The 23,854-nt window shown below is 46.0% G+C and overlaps 1 protein-coding gene, 1 long non-coding RNA gene and 1 pseudogene across 5 annotated transcripts in view, besides 1 other annotated feature; 2 read left to right on the top strand and 1 right to left on the bottom strand.

Annotated features, from left to right (window-relative positions):
• LOC100533997 (MAGEA10-MAGEA5 readthrough) overlaps nucleotides 1-18,435 on the top strand; it is a 24,529-nt gene extending 6,094 nt beyond the window's left edge. The window contains exons 2-4 of the mRNA NM_001204811.3: nucleotides 2,871-2,995; nucleotides 16,717-16,803; nucleotides 16,879-18,435. Coding sequence (NP_001191740.1) covers nucleotides 16,944-17,318 — 375 coding nt within the window. The 5' untranslated portion in view covers nucleotides 2,871-2,995; nucleotides 16,717-16,803; nucleotides 16,879-16,943 and the 3' untranslated portion in view covers nucleotides 17,319-18,435. The remainder of the gene's footprint in view (nucleotides 1-2,870; nucleotides 2,996-16,716; nucleotides 16,804-16,878) is intronic.
• Nucleotides 2,484-3,683: an enhancer, noted in NCBI's record as "CDK7 strongly-dependent group 2 enhancer chrX:151297273-151298472 (GRCh37/hg19 assembly coordinates)". NCBI's record gives its function as "activates an origin of replication core promoter dependent on BRD2, BRD4, P300/CBP, MED14 and CDK7 cofactors, with strong dependence on CDK7, by STARR-seq in HCT116 cells {active_cell/tissue: HCT116}" and the evidence as "EXISTENCE:reporter gene assay evidence [ECO:0000049][PMID:35650434]".
• On the bottom strand, nucleotides 4,290-23,854 carry LOC105373369 (uncharacterized). Of its 3 annotated transcripts, XR_001755974.2 has the most exons (10): nucleotides 21,168-22,014; nucleotides 16,639-16,776; nucleotides 16,026-16,106; nucleotides 15,729-15,846; nucleotides 13,223-13,378; nucleotides 12,631-12,799; nucleotides 12,103-12,220; nucleotides 10,851-10,910; nucleotides 4,847-5,029; nucleotides 4,290-4,669 (listed from the first exon to the last, which is right to left on the bottom strand). It is a non-coding gene; the product is annotated as an uncharacterized LOC105373369 (long non-coding RNA). The 3 variants fall into 3 exon arrangements; XR_938523.3 differs by having other exon boundaries at nucleotides 4,290-5,029; XR_007068347.1 differs by having other exon boundaries at nucleotides 4,290-10,910; nucleotides 21,168-23,854.
• Nucleotides 14,545-18,435, top strand: MAGEA5P (MAGE family member A5, pseudogene; annotated as a pseudogene). Its single transcript, NR_171383.1, has 3 exons — nucleotides 14,545-14,564; nucleotides 16,717-16,803; nucleotides 16,879-18,435. The product of NR_171383.1 is annotated as an MAGE family member A5, pseudogene (transcript).

The following is a 23,854-nucleotide window of genomic DNA, read 5'->3' as shown; positions in this document are numbered from 1 at the left end:
ATATGTGAAGCAACATTTGTGACTGATTTGGGATTCCATGTTCCACTGAGCTGCATATTCTGAGATGTACTGGATAACAATGACAAAAATTCCAGAGAAGACTGTGGTGGGGTCTGAGGTCAAATAATATTAGAAATAACAGCCATCTGCCATTCATTAAACTTCTAACTATGCCAGGCCCTGAGCCAGGTTCTTCACTTATATTGCACACACTCCAGTAGTCCTAATGGACAGGGCTTATCACACCTGCTTCACAGATAAAGAACCCAAGGCTCACAGGACTTGGGCATTTCCCAGAATCACATGGCTAGTAAGGAATAGGGCTGGAACCAGACTCCTGGTGGGTCTGAATTCCTGTAGAGCCCATGCTGTTCCCACTCCTCCCAGCCTGAGGCCGACCTCTTGAATAGTACTTCATTTCTCTTCTCAGCACTGTACCATGTCTCTCAGGTGACAAAAATAGGGACTCTGAGGCCAAGGTAGCAGTCGTAGGCCTAGAGAAGGTGACAATGAGAATCAAACACCATTTCAGGGTGGCCTGTGGACCTTATTAATCCAGGGACCTACTGTGTCAATCCCCAGGGTTCCTTGAGAGCTGACTGTACCCAGGAGCTGGCATTTCTGTTCAGAGCCAGCACTTCCCCACATTACAGCACCCTTCCCCTGGTTGTCCCCAGTGTTCCCTCCTACCCAAATCTGGAACTTGGATTGCTGCCTAGCTTGTCACTGTGGTCTCTGCTAAAGGCTGTGCCCAGAACACAGTAGAGAAGCCTAGAATCGCCTGCTCACCCTGTGACACAGAGCATGCCTACACTCTGCAGAAGTACTCTGAGTGTTCTGTCCCATTCCTGGAAATCTCTCTTATAGCAGATGTCTAAATATCAGTGCCCAAAGTCAAATTTATGTAGAAATTTATGTTGAAAGGGCCTTTCAACTTCTCCTCTGCTTTCAAAGGATTTAGTCAGGAGCCGGGGAAGGAGAGCAGACAGGACACCCTCGGCTGGCAAGGGGCATTAGGAGGATGCAGGGAAGAGCAATTACCAGAGTCCACGAGAGAGACCACATGTGAAATCAAGTCCACAGAGCCCCAGGCAGGCTGCCACTGAGAGCTCTGAATCCAGATTTCAGCCCGGTGGGGGCAGAGACCTGAGGGAGAGAAGTGGGAAGTGGTGAAGGAGGACACGGCAACAAACAGGGATAGGCTTGAGAAATCTGGACACTATCATCATCAACAGGATGTGGCTGTGTGATCTGAATGGGCAGGCCTGTTGGCTGAATGCATCAGCGGCATGTTGGACACCTTATGCTCATTCAAGATTCCCCTCCCTCTGTCAGGAAGAGTATGGCTGGCTCCCTGCATCATTCTGGGTGAGCTACCTCTCTTGACCACTCCAGTGGTCCTGTGCACCCTTGCCAGCATCCCAGGGCTGGGACCTGTCTTTATGCCTACTTGAGCTGATGAATTATCCCCTGGGGAACCTCCATAGAGGTTGGGCTATGTGTGTGGGTTGCTGACTGATGATCAACAGCTGAGACTCACCAGGAATGCCAATGATCAGTGGAAGGTGGTAGTGGGGCTGCATGGAGGGGAAATTGGAGGAAAAGTGACCTGGGACTAATCAGCTCAGACTCTGCAGATGAAGGGCTTGTGTGGACATGCCTTGAAAATGATCCAGCTGGTGTCCCTGACTCAGATGGCCTCCTGTGTCTTCTGAGCTCTTGGCATACAAGGGGACAGGTGTCTTGGGACTGCAATCACTGGCCTGTGTTGCCACCAGACACTGTCTGGGGTAGAGGGCTGGCCAAAGGTGTGGACATGGGCAAGTTGGATGGAAACCCTGTGAAGATGGCACCCTTCATTGTTAAACTGACAGAACATGTGGGATGCAATGCAAAAAGCTGAAGGGGTGGGTTGCCCCTCCACACCTGTGGGTGTTTCTCGTTAGGTGGAACGAGAGACTTGGAAAAGAAAAAGACACAGAGACAAAGTATAGAGAAAGAAATAAGGGGGCCCAGGGGACCAGCGTTCAGCATATGGAGGATCCCGCAGGCCTCTGAGTTCCCTTAGTATTTATTGATCATTCTTGAGTGTTTCTCAGAGAGGAGGATGTGGCAGGGTCATAGGACAATAGTGGAGAGGTCAGCAGATAAACACCTGAACAAAGGTCTCTGCATCATAGACAAGGTAAAGAATTAAGTGCTGTGCTTTAGATATGCATACACATAAACATCTCAATGCCTTAAAGAGCAGTATTGCTGCCCGCATGTTCCAACTCCAGCCCTAAGGCAGTTTTCCCCTATCTCAGTAGATGGAAAATACAATCGGGTTTTATACCGAGACATTCCATTGCCCAGGGACAGGCAGGAGACAGATGCCTTCTTCTTGTCTCAACTGCAAAGAGGCATTCCTTCCTCTTATACTAATCCTCCTCAGCACAGACCCTTTACGGGTGTCGGGCTGGGGGATGGTCAGGTCTTTCCCTTCCCACGAGGCCATATTTCAGACTATCACATGGGGAGAATCCTTGGACAATACCTGGCTTTCCTAGGCAGAGGTCCCTGCAGCCTTCCGCACTGTTTGTGTTCCTGGGTACTTGAGATTAGGGAGTGGTGATGACTCTTAACCTGCATGCTGCCTTCAAGCATTTGTTTAACAAAGCACATCTTGCACCGCCCTTAATCCATTTAACCCTGAGTGGACACAGCACATGTTTCAGAGAGCACGGGGCTGGGGGTAAGGTTATAGATTAACAGCATCCCAAGGCAGAAGAATTTTTCTTAGTACGGAACAAAATGGAGTCTCCTATGTCTACTTCTTTCTACACAGACACAGTAACAATTTGATCTCTCTTTCTTTTCCCCACAAAAAGCATCATGCACTATCCTGTTGGGAGCATCCTCACCTCCAAGACACTGTTTGGGCCTGAGGAGAAGGAGTCTGCAGTGACCCTGTCGTGGTATTTTCCACAAGAATTCTGAAATGAAGCAAGCACAGGTAAGGGAACTGTGGGTTTCTTCATGGAGGCAGGAGGCCCACACAGGGGCAGGCTCCACACTTTGAATCAGTGAATTCTCATGCCTGGTAATTTCATTCATTCATTCATTCATTCATCCAGCAAACTTTTGTTGAATACATGCTGAGGAAACATGAGGTAACAAAACAAAGTGATAAGGCCCTTAATCCAGTATGTGGGGGATGTAGGGGAGATGGTGAGGTGGTATGAGTCACTCATTTGAGCCAGGGAGGCCAGGAAGGCAGAGCCAGACTTGGAGGCAGGCCTTACACAAGAAAGGGAGGGACAGCCTATGACCAGGCCAGTAAGCTGGCCTTCTATGACACTATTGATCTGATTTTCTTCCTCAATGCTGCCTGTGTGTGAAAGCAACTGCCACTTTCTGTGCCCACCTGCCTTTGTTAATAGGGAAAGTGCTCATGGTTGGCAGATGCTCACTTCTGCTCACCTCAGGTCACTTCTACTGAAGGAGTGGTTTTACTGCAAAAGCACAGGAAGAAACTTTTGGGGATGATGAATATATTTTGCGCCTTCACTGTGGTTGTGATTTCATGGGACTATATATTTGTCAAAACTCTCTGAATTGTTTCTCAGTATTTCAGAGAAAAAGTAAGCAGGAAACCAGGAAGGATATAGATTACCTGATTAAAATTAAAAACAAACAAACAAACAAACAAACAAAAACACCGCATCCAACTATAGCAGAATAAACATTCCTCTCAAGTGTGCATAAAATATTTACCAAGCTAGATGGTATTCTGGGCCATAAAACAAACCTTACAAATTGAAAATATTAGAAATAATAAAAAGCATATTCTTTAAGATGCTTCTTGAAGACCATAATGTAGTTAAGCTCAAAATCAAACACAAAGATAACTGAAAAATGCTCAAATGTTGTAAATTTTAAAATATGCTCCTAAGTAATCTATGGATCAAAGAGGGATTCTTAGGATAATTTTAGAATATACATTACATTGAATGAAAATAAAAATATACATACAAAAATTTGAGGGATTCAGCTAAAGTAGTCCTTGGGAAAAATGTATAGCATATTTTAAATATTTATATTAGAAAATAAAATATAAAATCAATAACCAAAACTTTCACTCTAGGAAACTAAAGAAAGAAGAGCAAGTTGAATTTAAAGAAATTGAAGAGGATCCCACCTTCCTCCCTTCCCAAACTCCCACCTCTCCCCTCCTTCCTCCCTCCCCACCATCCTAGAACACACACACACACACACACACACACACACACACACACACACACACCCCATTTTACAACAGGTTCTTTTTATTTTGATCACCGTGGGGTGTACCCTGTGGGGTGTAAAACGTACTCTAGACCCTGTTGGCTATTTATTTGGGGTTAGACCTCTGGAGACTTTTCAGGTAAATCTGAGTTCTCTGGTCTTGCCCTGAAATTACTGGCTGCCCGGGGAGACACTAGGGATGTTGGAGGTCTCCTTGCTTTGGTCCTGCTGTGGCTAATTTTGATTAAGTTCCTCATTCAGCTGGTCACAGGGGCTGGATAGTTTTGGCTCGCTTCCTTCCTCAGGTTTTCTTGAAGCAGAGATCTTTTTTGGGAGAGTTGTTTTTTTTTTTTCTGGAATTCCCTAAAAGGTTTCCTTTTCCCTTCCTGGTTGTCTTAGGAACCTGAAAGGACAACAGGGAGATCACAGAAGGGGACTGATTTTGGGGAAGAGAATGGAGGAGGGGTGGGAACAGGGGCTTCAGGAGAAGAGGTACTGGCTGAGGTGGGGGTAGGGTAGGACAGGGTAGGAGTCTTGGGAGGGAGGAGTCAAGGGGAAGACTAAGAGGAGCTTCTCTCACCTTGATAGGACTTATAGACTTAGTTTGACAGGGGGCCTTCCTGTTCCTTGCCCCTTTGGTGTTGGCAGGTGGTTGTTCTTTGACACCTGGGCTGGAGGTTTGTGGTTTCCTGGTCATCTTCACCATGTCAGTGTCTCTCAATCGTCTACTCCATGCCTCCTGGCCTCCCTATATATACACCCCCTTCCACCGTGACAATAAAGCCATACCTGTGAGCTTTGATGGATCAGCAAGCCACTACCCAGCCAATGGTGGCTCTGAGGGGTGAGGGGCTTAGACATCACAAAGCACTATAAGGACATTGTCGTGAGTGGGAGGGGGGAAGGGGTATGGAGAGAGGGAAGAGGGGAGTCTGATGACAAAGCCAGGATGCTCTGATTGAAGAAAAAGGGGACATTTCTTTAGCACTCCTAAAGAGCTTTCCCAAACTGAGTAGCGGTGCTCCTTTCCTCCCATGTTCAACTTGGGTGGGTCACATGGCAGGGAGAGAGTATTTCCTCTAAGCCTTTTCCCAAAGTCACCCCACTTCAGTGCTTCCTTCTGTTTTCTCCCACCATTATCTAGTTTTTGTACATCTTACCGGAAATCTCTCCGAGGTAATCTGACTGTATTTAAATATATGTGTAGATGTGAATCATCCTACTTCACTCCTAAAAATTTCTCTTATGCATCTTGAAGACCACTCACTTGGATACCACCAAGGAACTTTCCCATCCTACCAATGGAAAAGTGTCCACAGAAGTCTCCTGGGGTTTCAGTTTTCCCCAGTCTGAAATCACTGCATTCAGGCTGTCAAACTCCAGTGAATACATTTGCTCCACTGGACATCTTATGTGTCTTGTTTCAACTGTAGGGTTATGCTCATCTCAGTAGATGTGGTACCCAGGCTTGGATTTTAACAGTGTAGAGTGAATGAGGCAGATTTTCATGCCAGAAATTACGCAGGATATTTGCATGTAGGAAACTAAAACCTAAGACTGACGAGTTCATGGAAAAGGGTGGTGTTGAGAAGAATAGTTCAACAACGTGCCTGAGGTTCTGTCCAGTGTAATAAGTTTTTTTAAAAGGCCTTCGTATTGGAAAGGGACAAATAAAACTGTCTTTATTTACAGAAAATAAGAGTATATACGGACAATTCTATCTATCAAAAAAATGCTTCTAAAACTAATAAGAGTTTAGCAATGTTGCTGGATATAGATCATTATACTTGTGTTTTTACACTAGCAATGAGCAATTGGCAACTGAGACAAAAACAATGCAATTTAAAATAGCATTAGACAATAAATATTAAATGGATAAATATGACAGAAGATGTATAAGATCTATCCATTGAAAACTATAAAACATTAGAGAGATAAATTTAATTAGAATCTAAGTAAACAGAGACATACACTTTATTCATGAGTCAAAAGACTGAATATTAAGATGTCATTTGCCCTCAAAGTTTTTGACATATTCAATGCAATAAAAATCAAAATTCCAGGATTTTTAAAATATAAATTGAGAGACTGACTCTAACATTCATATAGATGTGCAAAGGCCCTAGAATAGTCAAAGAAAACTAAAAAATAGAACAAAGTTGGGGGAGTTACCCTACTTCATTTCAAGGCTTATAAACTCGCAATGATCAGTATAGTGTGGAACTGTCATAATTATAGCAGTATATCAATGGAAGAGAATAAAGTCCAGGAGTGGATCCACATGTATATGTATATATAGACAACTAATTATTGATAAAGATGCAAATGAAGATTAGAGGAAAGAAATGATAGTATATTCAACAATTTGATCTGAAACAATTGGATATCCATATGCAAAACTAAATTTCAATCCATACTCTATCTATCTATCTATAAAGGGAGAGAGAGAAAGAAAGATATTTTAAGGAATTGTCTCAGGTGACTATGAGGTCTGATACATCCAAAATCTGTAGGACAGGGCAGCAGGCTAGAAACTGACACAGCGTTTTTACGTTCCAATCTTGTGGTAGAATTCCTTCTCCAGGAAACCTCGGTCTTTTAAGACCTTCAACTGATTGGATGAGGCGCACCCACGTTATGGAGGTAAACTGCTTTACTTAAAATCGATTGTAAATGTTGATCACATGTACAAAATACCTTCACAGCAACAGCTAGGCTAGTGTTTGACCACACAACTGAGTACTATAGCCTAGAAAAGCTAACACATAAAACTAACCATTGCACATACCTTGCCCCATACAAAAATGTAACTCAAAATGAATCATAGCCCTAAATGTCAAAAATACTTTTTTTCTAGGAGAAAACAGAAGAAAAGTTTTATAACCTGTGGTTATGTTTTAGTCAGCTTTGGCTTCCATAACAAAATGGCATGGATTATTTAGCTGAAACAACAGAAATTATTTTTTTTCACAGTTTTGGAGACTAAAAGTCACAGATAAAGGACTGGAGGGTCAGTTTCTTATTCCCAGCTTGTAGATGGCCCATTCTCATTATGTTCATTCTTGTCCTTTCATCTGTGCATGTGCATGGAGAGAGGGAGAAAGGGAAGGAGGGAGGGAGAAAGGGAAGGAGGGAGGGAGGGAGGGAGAGAGAGAGAGAGGGAGGGAGAGAGTGAGAGAGAGAGGGAGGGAGAGGGTGAGAGAGAGAGAGAGAGAACTCATGCAAGCACAAGAGTGCTTTCTTGCTTCCCTTATAACCACACTAATCTTATGGGATCAAGGCCCCACCCTTATGACCTCTTTCAATATTAATTACTTCCTTAGAGGCCCCATCTCCAAATACAGACACCCTGGAGCTGAGGGATTCAAAATATGAATGCGGTAGAGGACATAACCATTAGCAAAGAATAAACACATAGATTAATAAAACAGAATAGAGCTCAGAAACAGACTGGCACACATATAGTCAGGTGAATTGCAACAAAGGCAATAATGGTAAAAGTATAGTTTTTTCCAACAAGTGGTGCCTGAACAATTGGACATCTAGACACAAATAATAATAATAATAATAATAATAACCTAGACATATCCTTAAAAATTTCACAAGATCAACTCAAAATACGTCATAGATCTAATGCAAAATGCAAAAACCATACAACTTCTAGAAGAAAGCGTAAGAGAAAATCTACACAAATTTGAGTTTGATGATGAGTTTTAAAATTCAGCACCAAAAGTATCATCAATGAAGGAAAAATTAGCCAAGTTGGATTTTATTAAAATAAAAATCTTATGCTCTTCAAAAAACAGAGTTAACAGAATAAAAACAGAAGCTACAGACTAGCAGAAAACATCTGTAGCACACATATGTGATAAAGAACTTGTCTCTACAATATACACAACTTCTTAAAACTCAACAATAGAAAATAAACGAAAATAGTTGAAGATCTGAACAGACAGTACACCAAAGAAGATATACAGATGGCAAATAAGCATAGTAAAAGTCCTGGACGTCTTTTGTCATTAGAGAATTGTGTACTAAAATGAGAAACCACTATACACCTATTAGAATGTCTAAGATAAAAAAAAGACCAATTGCTAGTGAAGATGTGGAGCAACAGAAACTCTCATTCATTGATGGTGGAAATGCAAAATGATGCAGCCACTTTGGAAGTAGACAGTTTGGCATTTTCTTAAAAAAACTGAACATAGTCTTACGATAAGATTCAGCAGTCCTACGCCTAGGTATTTACCCAACTGATTTGAAAACTTACGCCTACATAAAAATTTGTATGTGAATGTGTACAATAGCTTATTTCATAATCACCAAAAATAGAAGCATCCAAGATGTATTTCTTTTGGTGAATGGATAAAGAACATATATTAAAAAAACAGAATACAGCCCAGAAATAGACCTGCACACATATATTCAGGTGATTTATAACAAAGCAATAATGCTGAAAGTATAGTTGTTCCAACAAATGGTGCATGAAAAATTGGACATCTATACACCAACAATAATAATAATAACCTAGACAAATCCTTAGGTATTTCACAAAGATTAACTCAAGCTACATCATAGACCTAATGCAAAATGCAAAAATTATACAACTTCTATAAGAAAATAAGAGAAAATTTACATTACTTTAAGTTTGGTAAAAAGTTTGTAAATTCAACACCAAAAGCAAAAGTAGCAATGAGCACACCTAGCACCCAGATGTAAATTTCTAGAACCATTTCCTATTAAAAGGAACCAGATCTCTGGAGAAATGGCTGATTTTAGGACTGGGGCAGGGCATAAACCCAATGAGCCTAGAGCATCTTGTAGTCCTAGAAATGGAGGGCTAAAGAATATGATAAAGGACATCACAGTGTTGTATTCAGCCAAATCCAGACTATGGAAAACTGGAAAGAACACAAGATCTGTTTCTTTCCAACAACAACAAAACAGTGGCAAGAAAACAGGTCATGTGGAGGGGACCTACAAATGATAGAAGACTTAAGGAGTATGACCAAAAAATCACTATATAATATTATACTTGGGTACTCATACAAAGAAACACAATTTTTATAAAGTATAAGTCTACCAGGTAAGTGTGTAAAACAGTTGAACATTTGATAATCATTTATTTACTTTTTAGAAATGAAAATAATATTGGGTTTTTGTTTAATACAAAGTCCCTATCTTTTAAAAATATCATATTGAATTATTTAGAGATGAAATCGTATGATGTCTTAGACTTGCTCCACGTTACTCCAGCAGCTTAGGTGCTGGTAGGTGAGTGTCTAACTGGAAACAGGTTTGCCGTGTAGTTAAGGTTATTGATGCTGAGAGTCATCTACACTGGGTTCACTATATTAGTCTCTCTATTAATCTGTATGTTTGAGGCTTTCCCTAATAAAACATTTTTTATCATAAATATCATTCCACTAAAAGTTAAATCATAAGTGAAACTGATCACTTTGTAGAAATAAATAAATAAGTGACCAAGTGACCAAATTGATCCAAAAAGAAAACCTTAATTAAACTTTACAAACTGAAACTATACAAGCTCAAACTATTCAAAGCTCAAGCCACCCTCAAACGTTCCATGTTAGTCAGTTTTGGAGGCCGATTCTACTAAATAATCAGGGGAAACTAACCACCATCTTATCTCAGCTCTTCCAATGCACACAAAATATAGGCAATTGTTCACTTTGTTCTCCCAGATGAGCCCTCTTGGATTCAAAAAACAGATGAGGACCACCTCCCACCCCGATATAAAAAACACATCAAGCAAGCTCTGTTACATAGCAGCAATTATTCTATGTAAATTAGTAGAATATTAAATGAACAAACAGGCTCTGCCCAAGGAAAGACAATATGATTCCACATTAGGAAAAAAAGTTTCATTGTAATTCTTTACATACAAAATAGAGTAGAAAAAAATTTGATTGTGTTAATGGGTACAGAAAAAGCTTTTGAAAGAAATTCGATGAGTTCATGGTAAAAATATTTAGTTAACCTATATTGAAAGATAACTTCTATTTCCTAAAATCAACAGCAAACATACTTAAATGTGAAACGTTCAAAGAATTATCATTAATGTCAGGAGCAAGAAGTAGATGTAGGCTATTATCTCTATGTTTTAAATCATCATTGAGACACAAAGTCAGAGCTATAAGTATCAAAATAAATAAGGGTTGTGAATATTGGAAAAATACATAATGTTTAGTGATAATGTCATTATCGGTCTTGAAAATTCAAAGGAATAGGCAAATGGAATATTCAGGTGAATGGGCTTTCAGAAAGAGGTGTGTAACATTACTATAGCAAAGTCAAAATCTTTGACATGCGAAAGCAATACCTAATTAGAACAAACAATAGAAAATATGCCATTTGCAGTAGTAACAAAATCCAAGAATTAACCTGAAAAGAACCCTAACAAAAATGTATAAGGTCTTTCTAGAGGCAACTATCAAAGTATACTGATAGATTCAGGTTAAGAGGGTCTGAAATAAAGAGGAGCATAACCTGTTCATTGATGGGGAACAGAACATTGTAAAAATGTCAATTATACTTAAATTATTTACAATTTAGTGCCTTACCTGTAGCCGCCAAAATTACAATCAAATTTGGGCGGCTATTCTCTGCTTCCCAAATCAACCCTGGAAAATTATAGAAGGGAAAAAGAAAGAGGAAAAAAAAAAACAATATCAGCAATAAAATCTAAGCAACAAAACAGAGAAAACCCTGGATGAGACTGAAGACTGTGTTGAACTGGTACTTGTGTTTGGGACAGTGTTGGCTGGAAGGGGGTCAGCAGCAGAGATGTAGGGGAGGTCTGCAGCCTGCCTATACGGCAGATGACTGAACGAATAGGATGAACATTTTTAAATTTCCACCTCACTTCATTGCACAATCTGAAGCACCACCTCAAAACACAATGTCAGTAGCCCCAGAGTAAAACCAGAACTCCAGGAAAACTGTGTTGGTTAAGGCAGTGTGGCTCCGGAGGTCTGCTAATAACGATCTGTAACCAACATAGTGGGAAAGGATTTGCGTTTTAAAATATTGTTTCAACAGAATATAAACAATGGAACAGAAGCAGAATAGAATGTCAGAGTGAATCATGCATACTAAGGGTACGTATTCTTTCACATAAATAAATATATATATTGCTACCTACATATATACTTGGAAAATATGTAAAACATATTTCTTTGATGGAGAGAATGAATCATTTAGGACAAAAAGTTTGCAAAGTCTAGCTCTGGTTGGGGAGGAACCCCGGTGAGAAGATGTGTGTCTTCTCCCAGAGGTCATTACAATCACGGGTGCTGCAGCTCCCCAGGGACCATCTGGCCTGGTACCCGCAACCATGCTCTGCAGGGGGTGCGGCTGGGCAAATGCTCAGAGGTGACAGAAACAGAGCATCTCCCACCCATCACTTCATCAAAGAGCCAGGAGCCAGGAGGGGGACTCTCCTGAGTGAGGACTGAGGGTCCACCCACCCCCACAGTGAGGGGCCACAGAATCCAGCTCAGCCCCTCCTGTCAGCCCTGGAAGACCCTGGCAATGTTGTCACGTTGACCACATTTCTCAGAGTCAGAAACTTGGTCTGAGGGAAGCAGACACAATCAACAGAGAACAGGGGCCCAGGCTCTGCCAGGTATCAACGTCAGCACCCTGAGGAATGGCAGGCTTCCCCACCCCCACTCCCACCCCCACCACGACCCACAGTGCCATGATCACCACTGCCACCCCCAACCCCATACTCAACACCAAGACTGCCACCCCGCACCGCCACCCCCACCCACATTAAGGCAGGATCCGGTTCCCCGCTTTCTGTCAACTCACAGAAGCGCCAGGTGGCCCGGATGTGATGCCACTGACTTGCGCATTGGGTATCAGAGAGAAGCCAGGTTCTTGGTCTTAGGAGCAGCTTGAGATCGGTGGAAGGAAGCAGGCCCAGGTTCTGTGAGGGGTTAAGGTGAGACGCTGAGAGAGGACTGAGGACACCTCACCCCAGATAGAGAGCCCCAAATAATCCAGCACCGCTCCTGCTGCCAGCCAACTTCTCAGGCAGGGCCGCCCCCAGCCCCCCGTGGCTTAAGCCCCAGGGTACTCTGGAGCCAGAGCCTGGTGTGACCAGGAAAGGGCTGGTTAGAAGAAGGCAGCGTCCAGGCTCTGCCAGGCATTAACATCAGGAACCTAACGGAGGGCTGAGGGCCCCTCTTCCCTATTCCCATCCCCTACCACATCCCCATTCCCATCTTCATTCCCAACCCCATCATCACCCCCATTCCCCAACAGCACCCTCATCCTCCCCAGTCCCCACCATCTTCATCCCTCCCCCATCCCCACCCTCATCTCCCCAACCCTTACCCCTCTATAGCTCCATCCTGGCAGAATCTGGGTCTTCCCCTGCTGTCAACCCCGGGAAGCCCCTGGCCTGGATGTGACGCCACTGATTTGCGCATTGGGGGTCAGAGAGAAGCGAGCTTCTTGGTCTGACAGGCGGCTTGGGATTGGAGGAGGGAAGTGGGCCCAGGCTCTGTGAGGAGGCAAGGTGAGGGCTGAGGGAGGGATCAGGATGCCCCCACCCCAGATAGAGGGCCCCAAATAATCCAGCTTCGCCCCTGCTGCCAGCCCTGGACCATCTAGGGGCAAACTTCTCAGTCAGGGCCACCCCCCAGCACCCTGCCAACCCTGCCACTTAAGCCGCAGGGGACTCTGGAGTCACAGCAGGTCTGCTTAAGAGAGGGCAGGGCCCAGGCTCTGCCAGGCATCAACGTCAGGACCCTAAGTTAGGGCTGAAGGCCCCCCACCCCCATTCCCATCCCCCACTCCATCCCCATTTCCATCTACACTCCTAACCCCATCCCCCATGAGAACCCCCATCCTCCCCAGGCCCCACTACTCTCATCCCACCCCACCCCCACCCTCATCTACCCTACCCTCACCCCCCTATCCCTACATTCTGGTAGAATCCGGTTTCGCCCCTGCTTTCAACCGAGGGAATCCCCGGGTGCCCGGATGTGACACCACTGACTTGGCGTTGGGGGTCAAAGAGAAGCGAAGTTCTCGCTCTGAGTGGCGGCTTGAGATTGGTGGAGGGAAGTGGGTCCAGGCTCTGTGAAGAGGCAAGGTGAGACTCTAAGGGAGGACTCAGGAGGCCCCCACCCCAGATAGAGGGCCCCAAATAATCCAGCACTACTCCTGCTGCCAGCCCTAAACCACCTGGGGGCGGACTTCTCAGTCTGGGCCACTCCCTGCACCCTGCCAGCCCCTGTGGCTTAAGCCGCAAGGGACTCTGGAGTCAGAGCTTCGTGTGACCAAGGCAGGGCTGGTTAGGAGAGGGCAGTGGCCAAGCTCTGCCAGGCATCAACATCAGGACCCTAAGTGAGGGCTGAGGGCCCCCAACCCCCATTCCCATCCCCCACCCCATCCCCATTTCCATCCCCATCCCCACCTCCATCCCCCACCAGAACCCCTATCCCCCACCAGAAACCCTATCCTGCCCACTCCCCACCACGTTCATCCCTACTCCCACCATTCCCATCTTCCCCACCCCTGACCCTCCTCCTCACCCTCCCACCCCCCCACACCCTGGCAGAATTCGGTTCTGCTCCTGCTTTCAACCCAGGGAATCCCTGGGTGACCAGATGTGGTGCCACTGTCTTGCACATTTGAGGTCGGAGAGAAGCAAGGGCCTCGCTCTCAGGGGCAGCTGGAGATCAGCTGAGGGCAGCTGGCCCTGGCTCTGTGAGGATGCAAGGTGAGATGCTGAGGGAGGACTAAGGAGTATCCCACCCCTGGTAGTGGACCCCAAATAATCCAGTGCCACCTCTCCTGCTGCTAGCTCTGGACCATCCAGGGCAGGACTCCTTAGGCTGGGCCACCCCCAGTCCCCCACCGCTTAAGCCGCAGGGGACTCAGGAGACAGAGCTTGGTATGACCAGGGCAGGACTGGTTAGGAGAGGACAGCTCCCAGGCTCTGCCAGGAAACAACGTCAGGAACCTAAGGGAAAGCTGAGGCTACCCCCACGCCAAACTCTATTCCTGTCCCTACCTCCGTCCCCCACCTACACCCCCCATTCCCCCACCCCATCCCTACCGGCACCTCTATCCCACATCCCCCACCCCTATCCTGGCAGAATCCGATTCTGCCCCTGATTTCAACCCAGGGAAGCCCTAGGGGGCCGGATGTGATGCTGCTGACTTGTGCATTGCGGGTCAGAGAGAATCAAGGGCATGGTTCTGAGAAGCCGACTGAGATCAGCAGAGGGGAATGGGCCCGGGCTCTGTGAGGAGGCAAGGTGAGACCCCCGAGGAAGGAATGAGGAAGCCCTCACCCAGATAGAGAACCCCAAATAATCCAGTACTACCTTTGCTGCCAGCCCTGGACCACCCAGGGCAGACTTCTCAGGCTGGACCTTCCCCCCTCCCCACTGCCACTTAAGCCACAAGGGACTCTGGAGTCAGACCTTGGTGTGACCAGGGAAGGGCCGGTCAGGAGAGGGCAGGGGCCAGGCTCTGTCAGGCATCAAAATCAGGACCCTGAGAGAGAATTGAGGGCCCCCACCCCAACCCCTATACCCATCCCTAACCCCATACCCACTCTACTTGCATTCCCAGCCCCATCCCCACACCCTACCCCATCTTGGCAGAATCTGTTTCTTTCCCTGCAGTCAACCCACAGAAGCCCCAGGAATGACAGACAGGCACACCCATTCTGACGTCCACATCCAGGGCTGAAGGAGGGAAAGGGCTTAGTATCATGAGCAGGGCCTCAGGGGAGTCTCTGCTCCTCAAGCCCTGCTGGGAGTAAAGGGAGGCCTCAGGGAACCCAGGTCCTCAGGATAGGGGGTCCACTCCAACCCTGTCTGAGACTGAGGCGCCTCCTCTTTCATCCTCGGGAATCAGAGGGATGGAGACTCACGTCAGCAGAGGGTGGGGCCCAACCCTGCCAGGATCAAGGAGAGGAAGAAGAGGGAGGACTCAGGGTACCTTTGAGTCCAGAACAATGGGGACCTTTGCCCTGGGAGGTCCAGTGCACAGTGGCCACCTGTAGCCCATGCTTGCTGCACCTTCTGGGTGACAAAGAGGAGAGGGCTGTGGTCAGAGCAGTGGTGACTCAGGTCAGCAGAGGGAGGAGTCCCAGCATCTGCAGGCCCCAATGTGTGCCCCATTCATGAAGATTGGGGATACCTTGGCTCAGAAAGAAGGGACCCCACAGAGTCTGGCTGTCCCCTGATTTTTGCTCAGAGGGGACCAAATCAAGGATAGCCCTATGTGCCAACCTCATTTGTGCCACAGGAAAGAAGTTGAAGAGCCCTCAGGGTGATGGGGTCTTGCAGTAAAGGGGAGCTATCTGCTCATCTCAGGGGGTTTCAGGTTGAGGAATGGCAGGCCCCATCACGATGAAGAGTAACCCACAGGAGGCCATAGAAACACTCACCCCAGAACCAAAGGGGTCATACCTGGACACCCCATGTGGGGGTGACAGGATGTAGCTCCATCTCATTCCTGTTTTCAGATCTCGGGGAGGTGAGGAACTTGTTCTCCGAGGATGACTCAGGTCAACACAGGGGCCCCCATCTGGTGGATAGACAGAGTGGTCCCAGGATCTGTCAGTAGTTCCGGTGAGGAACATGAGGGACGATTGAGGGCACCCTTGGGCCAGAACACAGATGAGGACCTCACGGAAATCTGCCCTGCCCCTGCTGTCACTCCAGAGAGCATGGGCAGGGCTGTCTGCTGCAGTCCCCCCGACTTACCCTGGGATCATTGGTGTCAGGGATGGGGAGGTCTTTGTCGAGGGGTCTGCACTCAGGTCAGTAGAGGGAGCGTCTTAGGCCCTGCCAGGAGACAAGGTAAGAACGAAGCAGGTTCCTCACCCAGGACACATGAATTCCAATGCATTTCAGCATCTCTTCCTGTCCTTCCCAAGAGGACCTGGGCACGTGTGGCCAGATGTGAGTCTCCTCATGTCCTGTTCCCTATCAGGGATGTGAGCTCTTAATCTGAGTTTCTCAGGCCAGCAAAAGGGTGGGATCCAGGCCTTGCCAGGAGAAAGGTGAGGGCCCTGTGTGAGCACAGAGGGGACCATTCACCCCAAGAGGGTGGAGACCTCACAGATTCCAGCCTACCCTCCTGTTAGCACTGGGGGCCTGAGGCTGTGCTTGCAGTCTGCACCCTGAGGGCCCATGCATTCCTCTTCCAGGAGCTCCAGGAAACAGACACTGAGGCCTTGGTCTGAGGCCGTGCCCTCAGGTCACAGAGCAGAGGAGATGCAGACGTCTAGTGCCAGCAGTGAACGTTTGCCTTGAATGCACACTAATGGCCCCCATCGCCCCAGAACATATGGGACTCCAGAGCACCTGGCCTCACCCTCTCTACTGTCAGTCCTGCAGAATCAGCCTCTGCTTGCTTGTGTACCCTGAGGTGCCCTCTCACTTTTTCCTTCAGGTTCTCAGGGGACAGGCTGACCAGGATCACCAGGAAGCTCCAGAGGATCCCCAGGAGGCCCTAGAGGAGCACCAAAGGAGAAGATCTGTAAGTAAGCCTTTGTTAGAGCCTCCAAGGTTCAGTTTTTAGCTGAGGCTTCTCACATGCTCCCTCTCTCTCCAGGCCAGTGGGTCTCCATTGCCCAGCTCCTGCCCACACTCCTGCCTGTTGCGGTGACCAGAGTCGTCATGTCTCTTGAGCAGAAGAGTCAGCACTGCAAGCCTGAGGAAGGCCTTGACACCCAAGAAGAGGCCCTGGGCCTGGTGGGTGTGCAGGCTGCCACTACTGAGGAGCAGGAGGCTGTGTCCTCCTCCTCTCCTCTGGTCCCAGGCACCCTGGGGGAGGTGCCTGCTGCTGGGTCACCAGGTCCTCTCAAGAGTCCTCAGGGAGCCTCCGCCATCCCCACTGCCATCGATTTCACTCTATGGAGGCAATCCATTAAGGGCTCCAGCAACCAAGAAGAGGAGGGGCCAAGCACCTCCCCTGACCCAGAGTCTGTGTTCCGAGCAGCACTCAGTAAGAAGGTGGCTGACTTGATTCATTTTCTGCTCCTCAAGTATTAAGTCAAGGAGCCGGTCACAAAGGCAGAAATGCTGGAGAGAGTCATCAAAAATTACAAGCGCTGCTTTCCTGTGATCTTCGGCAAAGCCTCCGAGTCCTTGCAGCTGGTCTTTGGCATTGACGTGAAGGAAGCGGACCCCACCAGCAACACCTACACCCTTGTCACCTGCCTGGGACTCCTATGATGGCCTGGTGGTTGATAATAATCAGATCATGCCCAAGACGGGCCTCCTGATAATCGTCTTGGGCATGATTGCAATGGAGGGCAAATGCGTCCCTGAGGAGAAAATCTGGGAGGAGCTGAGTGTGATGAAGGTGTATGTTGGGAGGGAGCACAGTGTCTGTGGGGAGCCCAGGAAGCTGCTCACCCAAGATTTGGTGCAGGAAAACTACCTGGAGTACCGGCAGGTGCCCAGCAGTGATCCCATATGCTATGAGTTACTGTGGGGTCCAAGGGCACTCGCTGCTTGAAAGTACTGGAGCACGTGGTCAGGGTCAATGCAAGAGTTCTCATTTCCTACCCATCCCTGCATGAAGCAGCTTTGAGAGAGGAGGAAGAGGGAGTCTGAGCATGAGCTGCAGCCAGGGCCACTGCGAGGGGGGCTGGGCCAGTGCACCTTCCAGGGCTCCGTCCACTAGTTTCCCCTGCCTTAATGTGACATGAGGCCCATTCTTCTCTCTTTGAAGAGAGCAGTCAACATTCTTAGTAGTGGGTTTCTGTTCTATTGGATGACTTTGAGATTTGTCTTTGTTTCCTTTTGGAATTGTTCAAATGTTCCTTTTAATGGGTGGTTGAATGAACTTCAGCATTCAAATTTATGAATGACAGTAGTCACACATAGTGCTGTTTATATAGTTTAGGAGTAAGAGTCTTGTTTTTTATTCAGATTGGGAAATCCATTCCATTTTGTGAATTGGGACATAGTTACAGCAGTGGAATAAGTATTCATTTAGAAATGTGAATGAGCAGTAAAACTGATGACATAAAGAAATTAAAAGATATTTAATTCTTGCCTTATACTCAGTCTACTCGGTAAAATTTTTTTTAAAAAATGTGCATACCTGGATTTCCTTGGCTTCTTTGAGAATGTAAGACAAATTAAATCTGAATAAATCATTCTCCCTGTTCACTGGCTCATTTATTCTCTATGCACTGAGCATTTGCTCTGTGGAAGGCCCTGGGTTAATAGTGGAGATGCTAAGGTAAGCCAGACTCACCCCTACCCACAGGGTAGTAAAGTCTAGGAGCAGCAGTCATATAATTAAGGTGGAGAGGTGCCCTCTAAGATGTAGAGAAAAAGTAAGAAAGGGGTGAGGGTGTGGGGCTCCAGGTGAGAGTGGTCCAGAGGTAAATGCCCTGTGTGGGGCCTTTTGGACTTTGGGAAACTGCAGTTTCTTCGGAGGGAGCTGATTCTAATGAATCGGCGGGGGGGGGGGGGGGGGTCCAGGGCCAGATTCTCAGAGAGTGTGAGAAAAGCTCATAATGGAAAACTGAACAGTTCTTTTTTGATGGTGGATGAACAGAGAGGAGTGGGGCAGGAATGGAAAGTATCTTGTGCTTTAGTCCCAGTGCTGTTGAACACAGTGCAAGAGCTAGGTGATGGACACTCATCATCTGAAAGCATTTCCTGAGAGAGAAGCATAAATCTCCCTGGAAAGGAGACCCAGAAGCCACTGGCCAGGTACTTTTCTGCCTGACTGGGAGAACTAGAGATGACTCTATTAAAAATGAATTTTAATTAGATTATCTCAAGTGCAATTTGACCAGTTGTAAGCAAAGTGGTGAAAACATGAATGAAAATAGTGATTTGCATGGAAAAGCATCTGGGAGCGAGGGAAACAGTTAGTCTCTGACTCAAATTCAAGGAGCTTTGAGCTGCATCTGGCTGGGAAAAACTCCCGCATACTCAAATTTTGAAGTACATTTTCTAAGAGGTAACCACTTACTGAATTTTATGGATGAAACTTCATTTTTTGTCTAATTATTCCATGTCCTATTGAGCTCTATGTTCTCTGATAAGTCTCGGAGAAGAATGACAACAGCAAAATCCCAGAGTCCTAGGGCCTGGGGTCAAATAATGTTAGAAATAACAGGCATCTGCCACTCTTTAAACTCCTAATTTACAATAGGCCCTGAGCCAGGTGCTTCACCTACGTTGCACACACTCCAACTGTCCTACTAGACAGGGCTTATCACATCTGCTTACAGATAAAGAATCAAGGCTCACAGGGCTTGTGAATTGGGACATAATAACAGGGTATTTCTTGGGTATTTCCCAGGATCACGTGGCTAGTAAGGAACAGGGCTGGAACCAGACCCCTGGTGTGAATTCCTTTAGAGCCCATGCAGCTCCCACTCCCCCCAGCCCGAGGTTGACCTCCTGACTGCTACTTCATTTCGTTTCTCAGCACTGCACCATGTCGCTCAGGTGACAAAAAGAAGGACCTTGAGCACAACATACTAAAAGCAGACCTGGAGGTGGCAATGAGAATCAAACACCATTTAGGACTGGTGTATGCTGGGTTCCTCAAGACCTGACTCTGCCCAGATGTGGCCATTTCTGTCCATTCCCAGCACTTTCCGGAATTAAAGCACATTTCCCCTGGTCCCTTCCATATTTTTTGTCTGACTCTGGAACCTGGCCTGCTGACCAGCTTGTCATTGGTCCCCACAGAACAGCCTAGAATCACCTGTTCTCCTCCTGACAGGGAGCGTTTCTTCTCCCTGTAGAAGTCCTCTGGCTGTCCCATCTCTCACCCAGGAAGCCATGTGATAGCAACAACCATTTTGATATAAACATTCACATGGGACAGTGACTTTTGGACACCTGGGTACCACTCTGGTTATCTTCGACACAGTCTCCAAGTGTTTTCCTAAGGGATTGAGTAGGGTCTGATTTGCCATATTATCTGTTAGTTCTCAGGATATCCCCCTGAAGTTACACGAAGTTTGGAACCACCTTGATACTTGCAATCAGACTTTTACAGGGTGTTTGATTTGGAATTCACCTCTGAACACATGCACAGATGAATGGTCAAAAACCAAAGCTTCCCTCATGAGTATTAGGTGAGGAAACACTTTGGAAATCCCAGTGGAACAAACATCTACTTACTGAGGCTAAATTCCTAAATCTCTGGAGTCCCCCAGGAGGTGAAACCTAATTCCTTGGAATACATGTCAGCTTTGATGAAAAAGGAATAATTAAGCAGCCTTCTACTGCCTCTTGTCTGTTTAATTGCTCCATGGAAAAATACTGGCTTTCAGTGTGCCTAGAGGCGCCTGACAGGTGTTCAGTCATGTGCAGAGTAGCAGAAACTCACAGGTTATGATTTCTATCAAGAATCAAATGGAGGAAAAAATTCTCAGCCTACTTAGTGGGAGCTAAATGATAAGAACTTACGAAAACAAAGAAGGAAACAACAGACTCTGAGGTCTACTTGAGAGGGGAGGGTGAGAGGAGGGAATGAAGCAGAAAAGATAACTATTCGGTGCTGGGCTTAATACCTTGATGACAAAATCTGTATAACAAATCTGTGTCACGTGTTTACCTATGTAATAAACCTTCACATGTACCCTCAAACCTAAAATAAAAGTTAAAAAAATAAAGGGTGTTGCAAAGATAAGCCTTCCTGCTGAGAACTTCAAGATTCTTGGACAGTTGTGATCCTATATTAGAAAGCATCTGTGACATACTAGACCCTTGAACAAACTGGAGAACTTCAAGGCAAATTTGGCCTTCTTAGAAATTCCTCCTAGAAATGAGATGGATTGTGTAACACCAAATTATAATAGTTGCTTTTTATTGAGCACTTACTATGTAACAGTTTATGGGGGAAGCTATATTACTTACCCACATCTTGTCTTCCTCTCCTGTCTGGACACATGGGAACAGTAAAGTCCACTTGCAGTTAGGAAGAGTAGTGTGACAACCCCTTACCACTGAAACATGAGCAGAAGCATTGTTTGTCACATCCAGGAATTGCGACTGTGCCATTTTCCACTTTCTCCCTCCTTTCAATGGCAAGCATGGCAGCTTCATCTTGAGATGAGATGATGGAATCACAAAGTGGAAGTAGCATGGATCCCTGGGTCACATGAGAGTATAGAGCCCCTGGCAAACTGTATCACCAATTATGTATGCATAAAATAAACTTGTGTCATGCCAATCAAATTTCAGCATTTCTCTGATGCATCAGCTAGCAGTTACTGTAACTACCATAGCTACCATTTCTGTTAAGCATAAATATTTTGTATTTCAAAGGTAACAGTTTGCATATTGTTATTGCAAAAATTATAGAAGTGTATATAATTCACAATTTTCCCCTTTACAAAACTCCTCCACAGTTTATCCCCCTCCTTAGAGGTCACCACAATTAACAATCTGGTATGTATTATTTTAAAACTGACTCTAGGCTATTAATTGACAGATAAGCTATAACAATATATTGTTTTTATTTAATACACAAGAATGATAATGTATATATTGATCTGCCACTAGCCTTTGTCACTTCATAAAATGGATATGGGATCTTTCCACAACTGTGTATATATATATAGATCTCTCTTTTGAAACTAATTTCTATAATTCTAAAGTAGGCATGCACCATAATTAATTAAACTCTTTCTTCCTAATGGACACCAGTTGTTTCCCATCTGCTGTATGATGAATAGAATAAAATCATCTTCGAATATGTATTATTGGGCAAACATTAATGTTTTCTTATAAGAAATGTATTAACATCGACGTTGGGTGAAAATGAAAAGGGTATAAATAGTTTAGCATTTTATAAATATTTCTAAAATTTCATTGCAAAAATGCTGTACCAATTAACATTTTTAAAAAATTAAAAATGATTTGAAATTCTGATATGTGGACAGGAGATTTCTCCTCTCCTTTCAGAAAGATTTGGTCAGAATGAACAAGAGCCTAGGAAGGAGAGAGACAGGAGACCCTCAGCCCGTGAGGGGCATTGGGAGGATCCAGGGGAGAGCAATTGCCAGAGTCCATGAGAGAGACCATATGCGAAACCAGGACCACAGAGCCCCAGGCAGGCTGGCAATCAGAGCTCTGAATCCAGAGTTCAGCCTGGTGGGGGCAGGGACCTGAGGGAAAGAAGGGGGAAGGGAGGGGGAGAACAGGACAATGAACAAGAATAGGCTTGGGAAATCCAGGGACCATCATTACCAACTGGAAGGGGCCACGTGATCTGAATGGACAGGCTTGTTGGCTGAATGCACCAGTGGCGTGCAGGACACTGTACCCTCCCTCAGAATCACCTTCCCTCTGTCAGGAAGAGTATGGCTGGCTCCCTGCATCATTCTGGGTGAGCTACCTCTCTTGACCACTCCAATGCTCCTCTGCAACCTTGCCAGTGTCTCAGGGCTGAGTGCTGTCTTCATGCCTACTGGGGGCTGGTGTTTTATCTCCTGTGGACCCTTCATAGAGGCTGGGCTATGTGAGTGGGTTGCTGACTGATGACCAACAGCCAAGATGGGCCAGGAACACCATGGACTCCAGTGGCTTCTGAGATCTTGGCACGCAAGGGGGCGGAAGTCTTGGGGCTGTGATCGCTGGCCTATGTTTCAACCATACACTGTCTAGGGTAGAGGGCTGGTCCAATGTCTGGACATGGGAAGGTTAGATGGAACCCCCGTGGAAATGGCACTCTCCATTGTTAAGCTGACATGGACTTGCGTGGTCCAATGCAGGAAGTATCATGCACTGGTCCTGTTGGGAGCATCCTCATCTCCATGTCAGTGTTTGGCCCTGGGGAGGAGGTGTCCACAGTGACACTCTCAGCTGTAGTTTCCATGAGAACTGTGACCTCAAGTGAGCACAGGTGAGGGAACTATGTGTTTCTTCATGGAGGCAGGAGGCCCAGGTGGGGCAGATTCCAAGATTTGAATTAGGGAATTCCCATGCCTGGTAATTTCATTCATTCATTGGTTCATGCATGCATTCATTCATCCGGCAAACATTTATTGAACATATGCTGAGGACACACTAACTCTACAAAACAAAAGGAAGTGGCTAGGCCCTTAATTCGTTGTGTGAGGGGTGTAGGGGAGATGGTGAGGTGGAAAGACATGTGAGCATTTTAGGAAGTGAGGGACTGGGAACTGATGGAGAGAATCTCTATTGATCTGATTTCTAGATGATGCTGTGCCCTTAGTTGAGAGTGAGAGTGGAGGAGGAAAAGTTGGTGATGACTTGATGAGGAAGAGTGTGGAGGATGAGATCTGTGTGTATTATGCAGTCAGAGAGGTGCTGTAGCCTGTCCATGTGGAGCTGTCGCATGAGCAGTAGGAAAATGGGTCTGTCTATCTGGATAGGTGCCAGGGCTGGACATTAGGTTTGGCTGCATGAGTAGAAGTATTTTGAGGCTATAGGTTAAGGTAAAATCAAGTGATTATTGTGTAGATACTGGCTTACATGCTACGTGACGTCATTCTGTCTCTTGAAAACACATTTATTTGGTAATCAAAATTACTCTAAGCTTAATGAAGGAAGGAAGTGTACAGGAGGCTGGAAAGGGA

This window comes from Homo sapiens, chromosome X (assembly GCF_000001405.40).
Source record: "Homo sapiens chromosome X, GRCh38.p14 Primary Assembly".
Lineage (NCBI taxonomy): Eukaryota > Metazoa > Chordata > Mammalia > Primates > Hominidae > Homo > Homo sapiens.
This window is presented reverse-complemented; position numbering and strand designations above follow the sequence as displayed.